General features: G+C 45.5%; 1 protein-coding gene across 50 annotated transcripts in view, besides 4 other annotated features; it reads right to left on the bottom strand.

The window, feature by feature from the left end:
* LRRFIP1 (LRR binding FLII interacting protein 1) overlaps positions 1–18,824 on the bottom strand; it is a 154,057-nt gene that overhangs the window by 19,833 nt on the left and 115,400 nt on the right. For 17 of the 50 annotated variants that reach the window (XM_017005260.3, XM_005246142.3, XM_047446306.1 and 14 more), the window contains 5 exons: positions 13,412–13,447; positions 12,487–12,612; positions 8,332–8,502; positions 5,624–5,716; positions 1,606–1,747 (listed from right to left, as the gene is read on the bottom strand). In XM_017005260.3, coding sequence (XP_016860749.1) covers positions 1,606–1,747; positions 5,624–5,716; positions 8,332–8,502; positions 12,487–12,612; positions 13,412–13,447 — 568 coding nt within the window. Of the gene's footprint in view, positions 1–1,605; positions 1,748–2,989; positions 3,083–4,262; positions 4,356–5,623; positions 5,717–8,331; positions 8,503–10,539; positions 10,612–12,486; positions 12,613–13,411; positions 13,448–18,824 lie in introns of all 50 variants that reach the window. The other 33 variants (XM_005246141.5, XM_047446303.1, XM_047446309.1 and 30 more) reach the window with 3 other exon arrangements.
* Positions 8,681–8,730: an enhancer, noted in NCBI's record as "active region_17376". NCBI's record gives its function as "activates an Ori minimal core promoter by ATAC-STARR-seq in GM12878 lymphoblastoid cells {active_cell/tissue: GM12878}" and the evidence as "EXISTENCE:reporter gene assay evidence [ECO:0000049][PMID:35858748]".
* Positions 16,858–16,907: an enhancer, noted in NCBI's record as "active region_17375". NCBI's record gives its function as "activates an Ori minimal core promoter by ATAC-STARR-seq in GM12878 lymphoblastoid cells {active_cell/tissue: GM12878}" and the evidence as "EXISTENCE:reporter gene assay evidence [ECO:0000049][PMID:35858748]".
* Positions 16,858–17,399: a biological region, named in NCBI's record as "H3K4me1 hESC enhancer GRCh37_chr2:238653055-238653580".
* Positions 16,874–17,399: an enhancer, noted in NCBI's record as "H3K4me1 hESC enhancer chr2:238653055-238653580 (GRCh37/hg19 assembly coordinates)". NCBI's record gives its function as "activates a minimal SCP1, AML or CMV promoter by ChIP-STARR-seq in naive H9 embryonic stem cells {active_cell/tissue: H9 hESC(naive)}" and the evidence as "EXISTENCE:reporter gene assay evidence [ECO:0000049][PMID:30033119]".

Genomic DNA, 18,824 nt, shown 5'->3' with positions numbered 1-18,824 from the left:
ACTGAAAGTCAAAGCTAGATAATTTTATAGCCCAGTGATCTCCATGGTGGGGTGCCCATATCCCAGGGAAAATGGGGGAAATATTAGGAATTCTATTTAGAGTTTTACTCTAAAACTTCTTTGCATATCTTTGCATATATTTTATAACGTACATTTTATATTAATGAAATAGTATACATATGTAGATTTAAAATAAACATACATATTGGATCCTACAATTCTTTGCTGAAGGAATATGTGATCAAAAGTCATTTGAAGGCCACTTTCAAAACTGACATTTCTGGTTCTTACAACATTTCACAATGGTTATCAAAGATTTATAAAATGTGTATTTGAGTAAGAGCAGCGTAATCAGATTCCTAGCTGTTCGGGTAGCTCATATAAAGGTATGATGGAAATTGATTAATTTATCTTTTCTCAACAACGGTATATAGATACTACATACCTATCTAGAGACGGAATCTTGCTAGGTTGCCAGGCTGGCCTGGAATTCCTGGTCTTAAGTGATCCTCCAGCCTTGGCCACCCGCAGCGCTGGGATTAGAAGTGTGAGCCACTGCACTAGGCCACAACTTTTTTTACACAATTGAAAAGAGCTGTGTTTCTTTAATAGTCATAAAGATAATGAATGAGGTACCTCCCTGGAATGCGAGGCCTGAGAAGATGGGGCCTGGAGGTGTCTACATTTCCATAAATAAAAAGAAATAAGATGAAAGCTTCTACATTAAAATGAAAAGTCACGGACCCTGACCTTATTCCAGCCTCTTTGTAAAACACTGGAACGCAGAGGGTGACCAGTGACAGATGAGGCCTCACTTGCACGCTGCAACTTCAGGCTGCACGCCAGAATCTGAAGGTTTCTCCCAAAGCCAACTCTTATGACAAATTATGACAAATCAGATCATTGAAAATGGTATAAAATATTCCTCTGATCTACTGGATTCCCCAGTTTTATATTCTTTCAGAAGCAAACACGTGGCATACAAAGGAGGATCCCCTCTGACAAAGGTGGGCATACTCAGACTCTCAGCACCGCCACACCCACTACCACGGCCGCCTGCCCACCTCGAGCGGTGGCTTGAAAAAGGCAACACAGACGGACCTGCTGTCCACAGGCACCCCGTACCCTCAAAGCGCTGAATGCTGCCCAGGATGTCGATGTTGGCTTGCAAATATGGCCAACTGACTTGACGGCCTCAACCATTCTGATCTTTTGATAATTCTGTCATAGAATCGGTTTAAAAAGCCACACTTTATAGGTACAGATATATATGTGTCTGAGGAAAACCAAATAGTACTCTCCACATTGTTACTTAATTTTGAGACTGTTTTCCTTTTGCCTTCACAGTCTTGCTTGGTAGCTTTGAGCAGCAAAAGAAAAGGTTCACTTGAGCCATTGATGGTGCACTACACAGAGATGCATGCCAGACAACACGTGGGTGACCACACCGGGTGGGCAAGGAAATTACCATGAAGTGATGAAACAAATGGCATGCTGGTGACTGTTAACCCATCAGCGACGGTGGCTCCAACCCCAGCAGTGCATGGAGGGTGAACCAATGCTGAGTGGAAAGGTGTGAGGAGCCGAAGGAAAGCAAATACTTACCTAGGGTCCCATCCCCTGTCGACTTGAGGGCATTTAACTCTTCTTTTGTCATCTTGGTAGGACCTTGGTATCCAACATTATTGAGGGTGTCGGAAGTCTCTCCATTGGTAGCTATTTCTGAATTTAGGATTATTCCATGTTTCTGGGAACAAAAATAGGCTCATCGTAATATTTACTCAGTGATATTAGGTTAAACTCTGTTTTAATACAATAATAAAAAAGAAAACCATTTTTTCCTGAAGTACAGGGTAACTCCACAGAGACAAGAGAAATGCTAGGGTGCAGCACTCGTAAATATTCGGTCAACACACACAAATCTGGGATATCGTCCTCCAAAGGCTACTTCTTTCTCAGATGTTCCAATCCATGCTTTCATTTGCTGGTGACAAGCTACTTCCACCAGGCATCCTTTTTAACTACAGGTAGTGGCCTGTGGGCTGCCCCCAAGTGGAGCAGTAAGCAAGTCACTGCCAAGTGACCTTTCATTTCAAAACCCTGATTGCATTCTTTAAAAAGAGAAACCAGATAAAGAAAGAAATATATACATGTTCTGAAAGAGACACACGAAACTTATGTTAAAGAAGGAATTCAGAGGTGGCTAGAATGTTCAGTATATTCAAAAGAAACAGAATTCACTGAAAACAGCAGCACTTCCCAACTGCAGACATCACTCACCCATGCCCTCCTGCCGCCTGTGGCTCTCTCTCCCTTGTGTGTGAGGAACTCCCCTGAACTGATCGCCTCTTCAAGGAGCAGAATTACGAATCTTAGCTCTAAGCCTGTAGCTGGCTGGCTCACTGCTCTGGCTTTGACCCTGGAGGCCAAGCAGCAGATGGTGACGGTTCAGGAACCCCCCCACCCAGAGTGCTGCCACTGGCGCTTCACCTGTGTCAAGCAGCGGCTGAAGACGCCTTGGCGTGGCCCACCAAGGACAGGGAACCGTCTTCCACCTGTAATCTAGTAGGTCTCAAAGTCTAATTAGCGGGATCCTTGCCCAAACCACTTACCCAAGTCACTGTTCCTCTAGAGAAGTCCTTAAATTGGGGGTTTTAATATAAAGAGGCAAATTAATTCTCTAAGTCTGAGTAATATCCTGGAGAATTTACTAGTGAGTATGAGAAAAATTTAGATAATGTATCAAAAAATTCTTGCATTCAAGATTGGCTATGTTTATTAACATCAAAAGGCCTTGGGCACCACCCACTGAACCTACATTTATTTTACATCTCATCGCTGTCAGTTAACCCAATATATGAATTATTAACAGAACTAAATGACATAAAATGAATTATGTACACACATATTCACAGCATCCCAAAATTTGCTGTTGTCACCTGGATTTTTTTTCTTTTTTTTTAAATAAAACTGTAGTTTGGCTTCATACCTTTAATTCCTCTTTCAGCATGACTACTTCTTCTCTAAGATCATCCCGTTCACTCCTTACGGAATCAAAGAACTCTTTCTGCCTCTCTAATGCCTGAGTGTGCAGCAGAGCCAAGAGAAAGAAGAAGATTTGCACAGATGAGCAAGTTACTTCAGAAGCAGGAACCAGAAGGAGGCTTCTACCATCTAAAACACTAGTGGACTCTAGACATTAAAGAGACTCTGCCTAAAGATACTAACAAAATCCAAGTATTAAGCTTTTCGCTTAGTATATATAATCCAAGAAATGTTACTGTTCATACTCCATGAAAGACATGCGCATCTTGAAGCACACGGACACAGCACGGGGCCCCAGAGGTTACTATATTTGCATCACTTTCTAGCTTTGTCTGCGTGTTCACAGCTGCGTTAGAGTTACGCAAAGTCTCCACTTGAATGAGGGGTCAGTAAAGAAAAGGGATTGCTTAAGCACCTCCCAGGACGGCTGTTGTAGCCATTTAGACTATTTTTATACACTGATTCTTGGTATCCATCATCTCAGATAAATGAAGTGGTCCTAAAGTGTGCGTGCATGCAGACACACACACACACACACACACTCCTAAGTGCTGATGAGCGTGACAGTGGAAACACAGTGTGGCTTGAGTCAACGTGCCGATGGTTTGTGCAGGTATCTCGACGTCTTTATTAGAGCTATGTGTAGGAATCACCATTTTGGGGAAACCATTTGTTGTTACCAATCATGACAACTACTTTGTGGGGTTCTGTTCCCCCTATCCTTCAATTCTAAGTGTAGAACTGCCTCTTTTCTTCTTGTGGAGGGAGAAGGGTATGTGGAGACCTTCCCTGGGGAAGATTTCAAAGTGGGGATATCTGCCTGGTGGTGCTTAGATTTTTTTTCTCAAAGCACCACCAGGCAGATAATCCCAAGACGTCTGGACTTGCACACATCAGACCTCCTCAGAGTGTCCTCCTCACTCCAGCTGTTTCAACAACCACCGGCCCGGCCCAGCCACGGGGCAGGCAGAGCGCACAGCTACGCATTCACAAGACCCTCCATGGAGAGTCCGTGTCACAATCCAAGTTCATATCAATTTGGATAAGTTAGTGTATTCACTACTTAATAAAATTAAATAAATTAATACGACTTTGTGTCACGTGGGAGTTGCATGCATACTCAGACAAGCGGTTTTGCAAACTAAAGACTCTGAAAAAACTCTATTTGCTAAGCAGGCTGCCCATTTGAGTAGATTTTCAAGACTTGGGAATCCTACCCCTATCTTTTTGTCTTTCCACTCTATTGTTTCCTGAAGATCAGAAATCTCCCTGATAGAACTCGCCTGTTTCTGCTGTAGCTGTCGGATTTCCTGAGGAAAGGAACAGACAGAAAGCAGATAAAGGGTTAAAGAGGAAGAAAAACCCCAGCCCGAGAGAGAACCTGAGAGCTGGGACAGTGAGTGAGGCCGCAAGCACTCTTTCACCTCATCAACCCTGAACTCATTGTCAGCATTCTAGGATTTTTTTCCTTGTCCTACTTCCGGCTTCAAGAAGTGCAGGAAGAAAACCTGCTTTGGGTGAAATTCTCACTTCAAGGCAGCAGTTAAAGAACCGATTAAGTCAAAAAATTAAAAACCAACCCTGTATTAGTTTCTTATTGCCATTGTAATGAATCGTCATAAATTCAGCAGCTTAAAACACAAATTTATTCTCTTGCAATTCTAGAGGTCAGAAGTCCAAAATGAGTCTTATGGGCTAAAATCAAGCCTTTCTGGAAGGCTCTAGGGAGAATCTGTTTCCCTGCCTTTTTCAGCTTCTAAGACTGAGCTGCTTTCCTTGGCTCATGGCCCCTCTCTCGCATCGCTCCAACCTCAGCTTCCTGTGTCACATCTTCTACTTCTGCCTTTGAGTTGCCTTCCTCTTAGAAGGATGCTTGTTCCATCAAATAATCCAGGATAATCCCTTCTCTCAAGGTCTCTCATCACAACTGCAGGGGCCCTTTAACCATGTAAGGCATCATATTTACAGTTTCCAGGGATCTGGATGTAGGCAACTTCGGGGGACCATTATTCTGTCTACCACACCTCCCCAAACAAATACAAGATCACCAAAGAATAGGAATGTTCACCAATGAGAGGGACTGTTTCGTAAATCTAGGGATGGAGAGTTAGCCTAAACTCTCAGATTTAAGAAAACTGAAAACTTTAGTAATTGCCATGGAATGAATTGTGTCCCTCTAAATTCATCTGTTGAAGCCCTAATGCCCAATGTGACTGTATTTGGAGATAGGGTTTTTACGAAGTAATTAAGGTTAAATGAGGTCATAAGAGTGGGGTCCTGATCAAATAGGATTAGTGTCCTTATATGAAGAGACATCAGAGACATTGCTTTTTCTCCACCGTTGGAGGAAGGATATAGCAAGAAGGTGGCTGTCTGCAGGCCAGGAAGAGAGGCCTCACCTGAACCCAACCTTGATCTTGGACTCCCAGCCTCCAGAATTGTAAGAAAATTAATTTCTGTTGTTTAAGCCATGCTGTGTATGGTATTTTATTACTGCAGCCTAAGCTAAGATAGTCATGGCCTGACAAAATGCTCCAAAGGGAAAAAAGGAAAAGAAAAGCAGGAGAATGCTACCTACCTCGAGCATTTCCTCTCTTTGCTTCAGGGCCTCCTTGACTTCAGCAAACTGAAATTGCAGTATACTGTGGGCGTGTTTTTCCCTTTCAAATTCCTGTAAAGGAGAAAAACAGCACTAAAGCAGTGGAATCCCATGTTTCTGGCATGCCAGTTCAGGCTCTCACGATTTATAGTTTCTGTGGAACAAATCACCTGCTACTACATCATCACAATCTTCAAGGTCTTTTATTTTATTTTTTATTTATATATTTTTTTGAGATGGAGTCTTGCTCTGTTGTCCAGGCTGGAGTACAGTGGTGCGATCTCAGCTCACTGCAACCTCTGCCTCCTGGGTTCAAGCGATTCTGCTGCCTCAGCCTCCCAAGTAGCTGGGAATACAGGCGCCTGCCTCCATGCCCGGCTAATTTTTCTATTTTTGGTAGAGATCGGGTTTCACCATGTTGGCCAAACTGGTCTCAAACTCTTGACCTCAAGCGATCCACCTGCCCCAGCCTCCCAAAGTGTTGGGATTACAGGCATGAGCCACTGCACCTGGCCTTCAAGCCCTTTCAAACAACACAAACAGATTCCTCTGGACTTTATAGATGATGCCTGATGACTTACTGTCAAATTAACCTGAGGAGTTGATGCAATCAACAAGGATTTTCTGATTTCTTATCTACAGTGAAGCAAGAGCCGACGAAGGGCCCCCCCAGGGAGCCTGGTGTCTTCCACAGCACTGTGCTGAGAGCCTGGGTGAGGCTGCCCTGCAAGGACTTACCATAAAATGGCCCCTGCTGAAATATGACAAGGAAAACTCTTTGGGATAAAAAGGAGATAAACATGGCCTACTAAAGCATCTCTCATGAACAGCTGGTGGCCAGCTCTGTGCTTCAGGGCTGCCCCTTAAGAGACAAAAACAGGAGAGTTTGGGGGAGCAAATGGAGAGCCTGCAAAACCTAGCTGCTCCTCAGGCCTGGCCTCCCCACCTGAGGCTCAGCCCAGGAAGCTGGCAGCTCGGCTCTGCTGTGTTCCTGCCCAGTCACAGCAGCGCAATCCCTGGTGACGGCCTGAGACCCAACTCACTTTGCTGACAGCTTACAGGCCTGCAGGACGCTCCTTCCCTAGACCTGTCAGGCGGGTGATCTGAGATGGGATCTGGCCTGAGCTTCTGCTCACCCTGGCACTTCTGTTCGCCCACTTCCTTTAGCTTGGGGGTGGCTGGTGCCCTCCTGGCTATGACAAGGGCCCTCCTGTGGGGCTTTGCATGGCCCCTGTGTCCATCTCGGGACAGCATTCTAGCACCATCCAGCTTCTCTGGAGTGAGACTCGGGAGTTTTCAGTCCACTGAATGATGCCTAATGACAGCATTCCAGGAGGAATGCATATGCATTACAGGCCCCCACCCGAAGGGGGGCTGGGCTGTGCTCTCCACTCCTCCGTTCCCACATGACATCAGTCTTGTGAAAAGCTCCCCTCTTGCAGAGTTCAGCTATAAGGAACTTTGTGCGTAAAATGTTCTTCAGCTTCCAACTCAATTCTATAGCAGTCGAAGAAGCAGGCCTGAAGGTTGTCAAGGGTACCTTGGTTTTAACCCTTTGGATTTAGAGGATAATAGCCAGTTAAAAACAACAACAACAACGACACTCACACATTACATTTTCTGTTTTTCTCAGAATCTCTGAAAAATTGGACAATTCCTAAAAGTATGAAAAAAGTATTCCTTGCTTTCTATCTAAAGAACATCCAAGCCCAGCCTTCGTGGAATCAGTCCGCTGTCATTACTTATCTTAACACATGACTCATGCTTGAGACTCTCAATAGAAATTATATCTGATCTCAGCTATTAACAAACTAGTTCCAGTGGTTCCTAATGAAAGCTCAGATAAGACTATCTCTCTCTCTGAGCTTGGTGATATATTTAATTCTTAAGTAGAGTAACTGTGTCTTTTCCCAATCAGCAGAAAATAATATAATTTTCTTAAAATCTTTGATACTCATAACTATTTCCCTATGGTGTTGAGAGAGAACAAAATAAAAATCAGAAAATACATATGAATAGGAAAATCTTGAAGCATCTGATCGCACCTTATCTGAGCATGGTGGCTCTTTCATAGGTATGTTTTTTCATGGTTTTGCTTTTAGCTTAGATGTTCTCCTAGAAAAACTGTCTCCAGTTTACATGTTGAAATTATACGTATCAATATTTCAAGTCACTTGGCAAAGAGTATGGTACTTTTATTCTCAGATGTTTGGATTTCCTGGATAAGCGGAGAGCCATTGTTTAAAAATATAAAAATACATAATGTAAATTATACATTATATATACATACATACACACGATATATCCACACATACATACATACATACACACACACACACACACACCCTACCATTCCCTTTTTTTTTTTTTTTTTTTGAGACAGTGTCTTCTCTGTTGCCCAAGCTGGAGTGCAGTGGTGTCAACACAGCTCACTGCAGCCTCAACCTTCCAGGCTCAAGTGATCCTCCCACCTCAGCTTCCCAAGTAGCTGGGACTACAGCCATGTACCACCTGGCTAATTGTTTTAATTCTTTTTAGAAATGATGTCTCGCCATGTTGCCCAGGCTGGTCTCGAACTCTTGGGCTCAAGTAATCCTCCCACCTTGGCCTCCCAAAGTACCAGAATTACAGGCATGGGCCACTGCACGCAGCCTATTGTTAACATTCTGTATCATACTAATGCTTACTTTGTTTTTCTCTTCGTACTGCCGCCTAGATTCAGCCAGCTGTTCTTCAAGCTCCAGCAACATATCTTTTAGGGTATCAACCTGGTACATGAAGTTTGTCTTTTCATTGTCTAGCTGAGCATTGGAAACCATAGCCTTCTTATATTTCTCTTCAACTTCTGCTAGAGAGTCCTGTGGAAAGCAGGTCATATTTTTGAAATTGCAATAAAAAAATCAAAACAAAGAATCATTCAGTATTCTGTTAAAAAAAAACCCTCAGTCCTAAACTTAGACTATATTTCTTAGAGCAAATGGATCAGAAGAAGAAACACATGGCAATTTCAAATGCATGGAAATCCCCCTTTTCAATTTGGTCAAATTCTCATTGCTCAGAAAATTCACTATTAAAAGCAATGGACACACTCATTAGAACAAACGAGATACCAGTATGGAAAGGGATGTGGTCACAGAGGCAGTAGAGTCTCTGGCCCCACTCAGTAGCTGGGGAATCCCCCCAGCACGGCGTCCTAGGGCTGGGTGTCAGGCTGTTCAACAGATTTCTGAAGAATCACTCGAGGCGTGTGACCAGCCCTTGTGAAAGAGCCAGTGTGTGATGGCTGAGATAATTACATAGGGCCACAAGCCAGTGACTGCCAACCAGCCCTACTCTGGCTTATGAACCAGGAAAGGAGCAGTAGTGAGTTCAGATTTTTGACTCATAGGAAAATGGCAGGCAGATCTCACTGGGTAGGTCCTGGAAAGACAAAGGTCATTCCCTTTGAAGGACAGTCCAGAGAAAGAGGCCTGTAAAATACGCATGGCGATGCCCTCACGTGCCTCACACCCTTGCAGGTCCCCAAACATGAGGAGGGGAAGGCGATTCCAAAACAGAGAGGCAGAACCTTCAGGGCGCATACATGCAGAGCTAAAGGCAGCGGCAAGAGCTGCCAGTTCAGGTGCAGCAGAGGCTACCAGGGGGCTGGAGGGACCAGTGCTGGTCTAGCTCTGTACCTCCACACCAGGACAGCTGCTTCACGTGGGACCAGCGGGTCTCCGGTTGGTTCAGTGGCTCCCCAGCAGCATTTTTTCTTTTTTGAAACAGTGTCTCGCTCTGTCACCCAGGCTGGAGTGCAGTGGCACGATCTCGGCTCACTGCAGCCTCCACCTGCCAGGTTCAAGTGATTCTCCTGACTCAGCCTCCCAAGTAGCTGGGATTACAGGTGCGCACCACCACACCTGGCTAATTTTTATATTTTTAGTAGAGACGGGGTCTCACCATGTTGGCCAGGCTGGTCTCAAACTCCTGACCTCCGGTGATCCACCCACCTCGGCCTCCCAAAGTGTGGAATTACAGGCGTGAGCCACCACGCCTGGCCAAGTGGCTCCTTTTCGCATGAATTGAAAGCCAGAGTCTTATTTTTCCCCCTTTCAGGAAAGGTGGCAGATATGAAGATAGTGAATTAGTCATGATCGATGTCACCTCCTCTGTCTGGTGCCCTTTGATATTAAATTCAAATGATCTTGCAGGTACTTTCTAGGGGGCTGAAAAGGAAGTAACAGATACGCCACCCACTTCCAGATCCATGATCCGCTGCTGCCTAAGGAAGACAGTCACTGATTGCCCACCTTACTGTCAAGGAACAGGGCAACCACATCTCCTGGCTGGTGCAATGAAGTCACTGCACACTCTAAAAGCAGTGTGCACACGCTCCAAGAAAGCCAATGCCATAGTCAGTCTTTACTTCAATTAGTAGCATTTTACAGGGTGCAAATAATTGGGATGTTTCAAAAGTGTGGCATGTGAGGACGGCCTTATTAGTAGACATCAGATATTTTGAGAAGCAAATCAACTGAAGCATTTTTGTATACAACTACTACAAAAAGTGAAGAAAACCAAGAACCTTCTTCAAGTGTCTGGCACACGCCTATGGGAAATGAGAAACTGGTTTTAAGCCTGGGGGAAGGATGGTAAGTCTAAGGCATGCATCAGGGAGTATGTTAGTAACCTTTTCTACTGGGCAGTTACATTTTCAATCTTGGTTCAAACAATGCATTTGGGAAAATGGTGAGTGTACACCCATGCCGGCACTCCTGCCATTGTGAGTTCTTCTACACCCTGGAGCCTATTTACAGTAAGCATGCACTTTGAATTTCTTCTTTAGGATGTTGTTTTTTTTTTTAAGTTAAGTTGGGTTAATATCGTGAGACCACACGTCTGTGAATTGGTACCTTCATCTCTTTCAATCCCTGCATGTATTTGCCTTCTACATCCTGAATCTGGTCCTTTAACTCATTGAGTTCCTGGGGGAAATGGCAAAAAAGGCAGATGATGTCAAGGGAAAACAGGTGATTCCCTAAATCTTTTATACTTCAGGGTAGTTTCTATTTGGGTAGTCTGAGCACCCAATTTTCTTTTTTATTTTATTAAGCGTTAAGGGAAAATAAACTTCAATATTTAAAGATTAAAGTTCAGGTGTATCCCATATGATATTTTTACATGATTTTATACAATTTTAGTGTATCTCATATGATTTTACACAGTTTAAAAAACAGACAAAATAGAGCCTCGGAAAACGGTACAGGTTATTTCAACTCCTATTTAGTAATTCATTCAAGCACTAGGAGTTCCTACTCTGTGCAATGTACAGTAAGATGCTAGAGGCAAAAATCAGTAGCACTTTTTCCCTGCATTTATGGAGCTCCAAGTCTCTACTTTGCCAAATTCCTGGTGCCGGGGACAGCATCTGGCACCAGCCAGCCTCTCAGTAAGTACCTGAACAAATGAACGGCACGCGCAACCTAAGGGCAGAGAAACATCAGGACTGCCGCCAACTCTGCTGCTCTGCTGTAGAAACGGAAACAACAGGCCAGGCGCAGCGGCTCACGCCTGGAATCCCAGCACTTTGGGAGGCCGAGTGGGTGGATCACCTGAGGTCAGGAGTTCAAGACCAGCCTGGCCAACATGGCGAAACCCCGTCTCCACTAAAAATACAAAAGTTAGCCGGGCATGGTGGCGGGCGCCTGTAATCCCAGCTACTCAGGAGGCTGAGGCTGGAGAATCACTTGAACCTGGGAGGTGGAGGTTGCAGTGAGCCGAGATCGTGCCATTGAACTCCAGCATGGGTGACAAAAGCAAAACTCTTGTCTCCAAAAAAAAAAAAAAAAAAAAAAAAAGAAAGAAAGAAAAGAAAAGAAAAAGGAAAAAAAAAGGGAAGCAACAAGGAGCTGCAGGTGGCCCAGGGGTGGCACATGGGAAATGGCTCTTCTGGTTTTGTAAACTTATAAAACATAGGTGTTGGAAGCATCTTCAAGGTAACCCTGGCCAAACTCTGGTGGATGCTTAAATCCCTCTCCGTCCTCCCTGGCAAACGGCCATCCAGCTGCTCAGACATCCCCAGTGGAAGTTGCTTCCCTTTTAAACCTAGTTTAAAGCACTAGAAAATTCAGAATCTGAGTCAGTTCTGGCTCCTTTCAGCTGCTTCTGTCTTGGTTCTGCTCCCTGGAGGACACAGGTCTAGTCACCTCACCTGCCCTTCCAGTCTTCAGGTTTTCAGATGCACTGTCCCTAGTTACTTTAACAAATAGCACCGTGTTTCTCTTTCACACACAGAATACTACCAAATGCCTGGCACTGTCCTGGGTGCTGAGGATAGAGCAGAGAATAATACCTACACTACAGTGGGATAAAAAAAATCATTAAAATACAAAGATGAGGGCTACTAAAGGCACATTACAAAGAGAAAGGAAAGGGCAAGTTCTAGGCCGAAGGGGAACATACTTAGTGGGGAGGGGTTGTGTGAAAGTAGGTAAAGCCGTCTGGTGTCCAAACTTGTGGACTGAATGTCTATGCAGACCAAGCATACAGAGACGACCAAGTGCATCAACACAACGTGCCAAGTGCTCTCACTAAGGTATTCCCCGGGTGCTGAGGGGCGCAGGGGGCCGGCACACGGTCCGCCCTGCTGGGGGGTCAGTGGGTAGGATCAGATTCCTGCAGGAGACACTATCTGAGCTGGGTCTTGATGTTAGGAGAACACCGTATTTTAGGGGAGGTGAGGGAGAGAGGACCAAGAAGAAAGATCCAGAACTTTATGAATTAACTTTTTTTTTTTTAATCTAAAGACTGATTTTTACAAAAGGTTCTCTCAAGTTGTCAGTAAGAAGAGAGCATCTCACCTTGATTTCCCTGATGGATGCCTCGGTGTCGATGGAGATGGAGGTGTCTCCGCTGCCTCTCCGAGAGGAAGTCCCACCCAGAGAGGCCAGCGTGGCTGCAGACAGGCCCGGCATGTTACGAGACCCCTGGAACGTTGAGAGGATCACATGCTGATATGGTTTAGCTCTGTGTCCCCACCCAAATCTCATCTGGAATTGTAATCCCCATAATCCCCACAAGATGAGGGACGGCCCTGGTGGGAGGAGACTGGATCACGGGGGCAGTTTCCCCCATGCTGTTCTCGTGATAGTGAGTGGGCTCCCAGGAGATCTGATGGCTTTGTGTTTGACAGTTCCTCCTTCACATGTTCTCTCTCCTGTCGCCTTGTGAAGAAGGTGCCTGCTTCCCTTTTCACCATGATTGTAAGTTTCCTGAGGTCTCCCCAGCCATGCGGAACTGTGAGTCAATTAAAGCTCTTTTCTTTGTAAATTACCCAGTCTCAGGGAAGTTCTTTATGGCAGTGTGAGAACGGACTAACACAGATGCGATTTCAGACAAAACCAAAACTGCATATAAATCTAACATCACAGGACTGTTACTTTAATTCCATTTCCAAATTGGAAACTCTTCATGGGCTTATAGTAAACTGTAAGGAGGGGATCATTTCCAGGCACCTCCTGGATGCTCTGCGATTAGCTGGATTAACCCTAAACTCCATGGTGGGGCCCATTATAAACGCCTCCCTGCTCTACAGGATCTAACGCACACCGGACAGGACTCCCGGTGGCCTACCTCCGGGAAGGTGATACCAGGTTAGGTGGGCCGCTTTCTAGTCCAGTTCCCTCGCTGGGGAACATCCTTATTAAAAAAAACCAAGCAACATATTTTCTTATCAATTTCATCCACAACTTTTGGGACCCTCTAGGTTTATGAACGATTCCTTACCTTCTCAGTAAAATCTTTTTCTGGTCTCTCTTCTACCTGTAGACGAAAACAGACAAAATATTAAATACTTTAAAAGCATTAAATGGATAACATGAAGATGGGGCTATGAATGATAAACAAAACAAAACAAAACATTTGCTTCCTTTGTAATTTAGAAGCAGAAAAATGGGACACTCCAAATTTAGCTTTTCACACTTCTCCTATTTGGATGTCTGTGAGGCCCCTTCTTCTCTTGTCCTCATTTGGACGTCCCTGAGGACCCTCTTCTCCTGTCCTCAGGTAGGAGTCTCAGTGGGACCCACAGCGGGCTGTGGAACTACAAGAGAGGGTGCACATGAGGAACGGACCCTGGAGAGAGCCCTGCACCATGAGGGTGTCTCGGGACAAGAGGCAGAGGCCGGCAGTGGTGTTACTTCTTTCTCGGCTCAGCATCCAACAAAAGACAGGTTTCTTTTTTTCTCCTTTTTTTGTTTGTTTGTTTGTTTGCAGGACTGGGTGGGGGGAAGGGTTTTTTAAACAAAGATTAACTACCTGGAGTGCTGCTTTTTTTATTTTTTGGCACATTGAAGGTTCTTATCATAAGCCCACTGAGAAGGTTACCAAGGTTGAGTTTGTCTAAAAACTCTCTGGGAAAAGCTGTCAACTAATCATGTTTTCCCCATCATGCCTTCAACCCAACTTCCCGTAGCTCAGAACTTCTTCACTTTGATTGTCAGAAAATCGGCCAAAGACATGCGCGGCAACTGCAGACCATATGTTTGATTCAGAAGATCTGAGAGATGACCTGGGACTCTGCAGTCACCGTTGTGAGCTCACACAGAGATAATTCATAATGAAGCTTGAGAAATCCTGATGGAGAGCTGCGGAGGCCACGGCTCAGCAACACCTGAGCTGCACAGACGCTGGTGCCGGGGACCTGCAGCTCAGCACAGGGGTGCAGGTGCTATGGTCAGGGTGTCAGAGAGATGGTGACCTCCAAATGACCACTTCCCATCTATGGCCCGAGTCCACGCTGGGCCAGATGCCCCTGCCCTCACCATCCGGTCCCACCAGGAAGGCTCATTAACTGCCACCTTCCCTCCTGCAAACTCCTTGTACCTTCAACTTCTCCTCCAACGACACCTGGAGCAACACTAAAACAACATAACCAGGAGTTATAGCTGGTCAGCCAGTTAAGGGATCAAATGGAATCCCACAAAATACTCGGTTAATCCAAAAGAAAGCAAAATCCAAGACCAGCTCTTAGCTCAGGGTGGCCATGTTTAAGGGTCTCCTACTCAACAGATCCAAGCTAAACCCTGCGGCCTGGCTCCCAAAGCCATCAGATGGTCTCGCCCAGCCACCCCACACCTGGGTGTTCAAAAATAAACTTTCTACTCTCATCTAACCAGTCTCCTGTGTCCCAAGAGCAGGAGTGGAAATGGGGGCAGAGAGGCCACATCCCTCAGGCCAGTGGGATGCAGTCAGGGGCAGGCTGGCCTCTCTCCCCTCTTTGCTAAATAAGCCCTTTGGGCAGGGTGGTGGTGGGGTGGTCCCTCTGCCCACTTAGCCACAGCTGCTAAGGACCCACCTGAGGCCCTGTCCAAGACCATGTGTTCACGGGCGCTTTCCACAATCCCAGCTGCTTACGGCTCTCTGCCCTGATGTCCATTCTCACGTTGGGTGCAGCCCAGCTATACCGCAGTGAAGACGGCTCTCTCCAGCTGTGGCCCATACCATCTGCAGCCCATACCATCTGCATTTGCTGATGTGTCGAAATGCACATCTAGAGTTATTTTTTCGGATGTGCATGCCACATCAGCCTAACTGTGTACTTGGAGGCACCAAGGCAGACTCCGATAAGATGAGTACCAAGGCAGACTCCGATGGGACAGATACGAAGGCAGACTCTGATCAGATGGGCACCATCTCATTTGGCAGAGCCCCAGAAGCCCTGCAGCCATGTTGAGTTGTGAGGATGATTGGAGCAATTCAAGTGTGGTTCTCAACTTCACATGGAAAGAAAAATATTCCTGAAATATTTTTCAAATCAAAATTTCAAGGCCAGGCGCGGTAGCTCCTGTCTGTAATCCCAGTACTTTGGGAGGCCGAGGTGGGCAGATCATTTGAGGTCAGGAGTTCGAGACCAACCTGGCCAACACGGCGAAACCCTGTCTCTATTAAAATTACAAAAATTAGCTGTGTGTGGTGACATGCACCTGTAATCCCAGCTACTCAGGAGGTTGAGGCAGGAGAATCTCTTGAACCCAGGAGGTAGAGGTTGCAGTGAGCTGAGATCATGCCACTGCAATCCAGCCTGGGCGACAGAGTGTAACTCTGTCTCAAAAAAAAAAAAAATAAATAAAATAAAATAAATAAAATTTCAAAGAACAAGGAAATGTGAACTATCTATCTAGCACTTAGCGTGCTGGAGAATAAATTCATTAAATCTCCTGGGCCCAAAGCCTTTTATTCCTTAGAGTAAGTTAGTTTGCTGAACAAATATTAATAAGATGAAAATAAAGAGGCTAGTTTAACTCTTGGTGGGATATGAAAATCCAGTTTAATAGACTGCCAAACTACCACTGAAAAGCCTGTGGCATGTTTGCTCCACGGTGTAAAACGTATGTTTTCTGGCTGCTGGTCAGCAATGGATAAATACTGTGGAGAAATAAATGAAGCTCCAGGAATGCATTCGTTTACCTACAAAGATATCTGAGACCGTAAAAGAAGGGCCCACCCAAGCCCTTTTTTCTTTCTGGTATTTCTTGCAAGAAAGCTGAGAAAGAAAACACACGGGGTCCACAAACCTTGATTTTGGGGGGGCAGGGCTTTAACACATCTTTGTTCTGCATGGTTTTGCTTGTAACCGTCTACATCATTTGTTTTTATAATTTGTAAAATATCAAATAAGGGAAAAAACCCCAAAAACCATAGTTTGCTGTTTTTATCATTTTAAAAAAGTCCTTGCTCCGAAGAACACAACGGACTCAAAATAAAATCTGGGCATATTTTTAAGTAGAGACCATGCAGAGAAAAACTAAAAATTAAGCTCTTGTTGAAAGGTGATGGCAAATGAACGTCTAACCTATCTCTATTTTACATAGTAGAGTAAATTTCATTTTGTGTGTCTTCCGAATGAAAAAGGATTTGTCAGCTTTCCTCAAACACAGGAAGGCTATTCAGCCCCGTGGAAAGCCACGCAGCCCCACTCGTGTCCACCAGATGGCAGTGTGTCACAGCTGCAGGGGCCGGGCCCGGACAGAAGCCGCAGGCAGCAGAGTCCACCTTAACCAAGCCCCCTTTCCTAAGCCCTAGCAGAGCCAGGTAAGGAATCAGATGTTGTGTTTCATCTTGACATAAAGCACAGCACTTCCTCCCTAAAATGATGAAGAAATGGAAGACAAGAAAGGATTCTAAACACTGTCACGGCCACTGCATGGCATGGTGTGGGGGCCTGGAGGAGGTGGGCATGGTGCAGAGAGGGGTCCAGAGGACATGGTGGCTGCAGACGGTCCAGGCTGCTCTGCCCACCCACCTTAGCCCAGGACGGGAAAGCACCGGACCCCGCAGACAGTGGCCTCCTGCACGGGAAGGGCGACAGCGCCGAACACATTGCAGCCTGTTAGCTTCATGACTCTCGTATTCTGAGTGATACTAAACATTTCAGGTCAGGGTGAAAACGTCACACTAACAGGTTTACAAAGTATGTGTGTTGTATTTTACAGCCACAGCTGAGTGTATACAGACATCATTGAAAATCTACTGGAAACAGTCACTTCTAAAACACGTCTGTGGAAGTTTAGTTTACGTCAAGTTTCCTTTCAAAAACAAATGCTTCAAGGAGCACATTAAATATTTTATTAATTCCAACTTTCTAACACTGTGTCTAAAGGAGTTTGCTATCTAGGCTCCTGTACACACGATGCCTGGTGAGGCTAAAACGCTAAGTTTTCCATGTTCCAGCTGCCTGCCATTTTCCTAAAGAAAGAATATGTGGCACCTGTTCACGTACCCAGAGAGACCCTACTCAAGGGCCCAGGTACAAAAGGAACCTGTCCTCAACACCCAGCCAGGCAACACCAGACTTGGATGGAAAAAGGGATCACCGAAGCAACATCCTTGCGAGGTCCTTCTTGAGACACAAACAAACAGCAAACACTGCTCAGAAAACACCCATTTTAAGGGTAATTTTCCTTCACATTTAAATGATAGCACAGTCCACCACTAGGGTGACGGTTTTTGGTTTTAAATCCAATAATATTTACTTTAGCCTGAATGACTTATCTTTGAACTCTGGTGTTTGTAATTCAAGACCCGTTTTTCCACCTGGTCCCTGCCCCTGCCTCTTTGTGCAACAAAAAACATGAGTCAAAATAGTGTTGTTTTTCTAGTCCAAATGGGCAGAGATCTGAGTTCATTGCTCCTGTCTTCTCTGAGTACACGAGGGAAGATATGGACCCAGGCTGCCCTTGGGACATTCCTGATGGATGTTTCAGAAACGTGATGGCTTCACCAGGTTCCCAGTGAGATTTTGGGGCCTGGATGACCCAGATCTGTTGGCTTCACTAGGTGGAGTCACTCTGCTTGGGTGTGGCCCAAGCTCTGGCCGTCAAACCTCTGGATCCCAGCTCTCTCGAGGCACCTTTGCCTCCCCTCACACCCCCGCTGCTGGGCTTCACAACGTGTGATCACCCAACAAGCATCCGTCTGCCCCTGTCTGTGCGTCCCATGAGGGCTGGGGCAAGTCTGCATTTGCTCATACAACGGCCCTGTTTCTGGAACATTCTAGGTGCTCAATAAACACTGAATGAATGAGTGAAATAACTTCCTCAAGGAGAAGATCCTGGTCGTGCTGGAGAGGAAGAAAACACAGCTCATCCACAGCATGGGAGAAGATGAGAATGAGGTGAACAGTATTCTATGCCTGTCTTGAGATGGGGCTGATGCCCTCTCTGCTTTCCCAAGGACCCTGGGAGGACCAAGTGGGTGGAGAAAACTTGAAGTCTTGTCCCTGGTGGTGGTCTCTGGACACTGAAGCATTTTCATTTTCTCGAAGTGGGACAAGCAGTCACTTCCTTCATTCTGGTTACTACTGCCCTTTAACAGCACCACCCTCCCTCCCTCCCCTCTGATGGGTGTGACACACTCACCTGTGCACCTGTATCTCCCAAACCCAGGGCGGGACTCCCTACAGAGCCTGCAGGGCTGACCCTGACTTCATATTTTTCTTGTCCTCTGTCCTCACTCATACTGGCCCTGGATACGTGTCCCTGACGAAGTCCCCGGCCTGGGAGCATTTCCCATGAGCTCTCGCTACAACAACTGTATCCCATCCCTGGCTAACCCCAGCCAAGGAGAAATAAAGTAACCATATGTTTTTTTTTTGTTTTTTTGGGGGGGTTTCTTTTTGCTTTTTAAGGGTATCATGACC

The sequence above is a fragment of the Homo sapiens genome, chromosome 2 (genome assembly GCF_000001405.40).
Source record: "Homo sapiens chromosome 2, GRCh38.p14 Primary Assembly".
Lineage (NCBI taxonomy): Eukaryota > Metazoa > Chordata > Mammalia > Primates > Hominidae > Homo > Homo sapiens.
The sequence above is the reverse complement of the archived record's forward strand: the minus strand, read 5'-3'. Positions and strand labels throughout refer to the sequence as shown.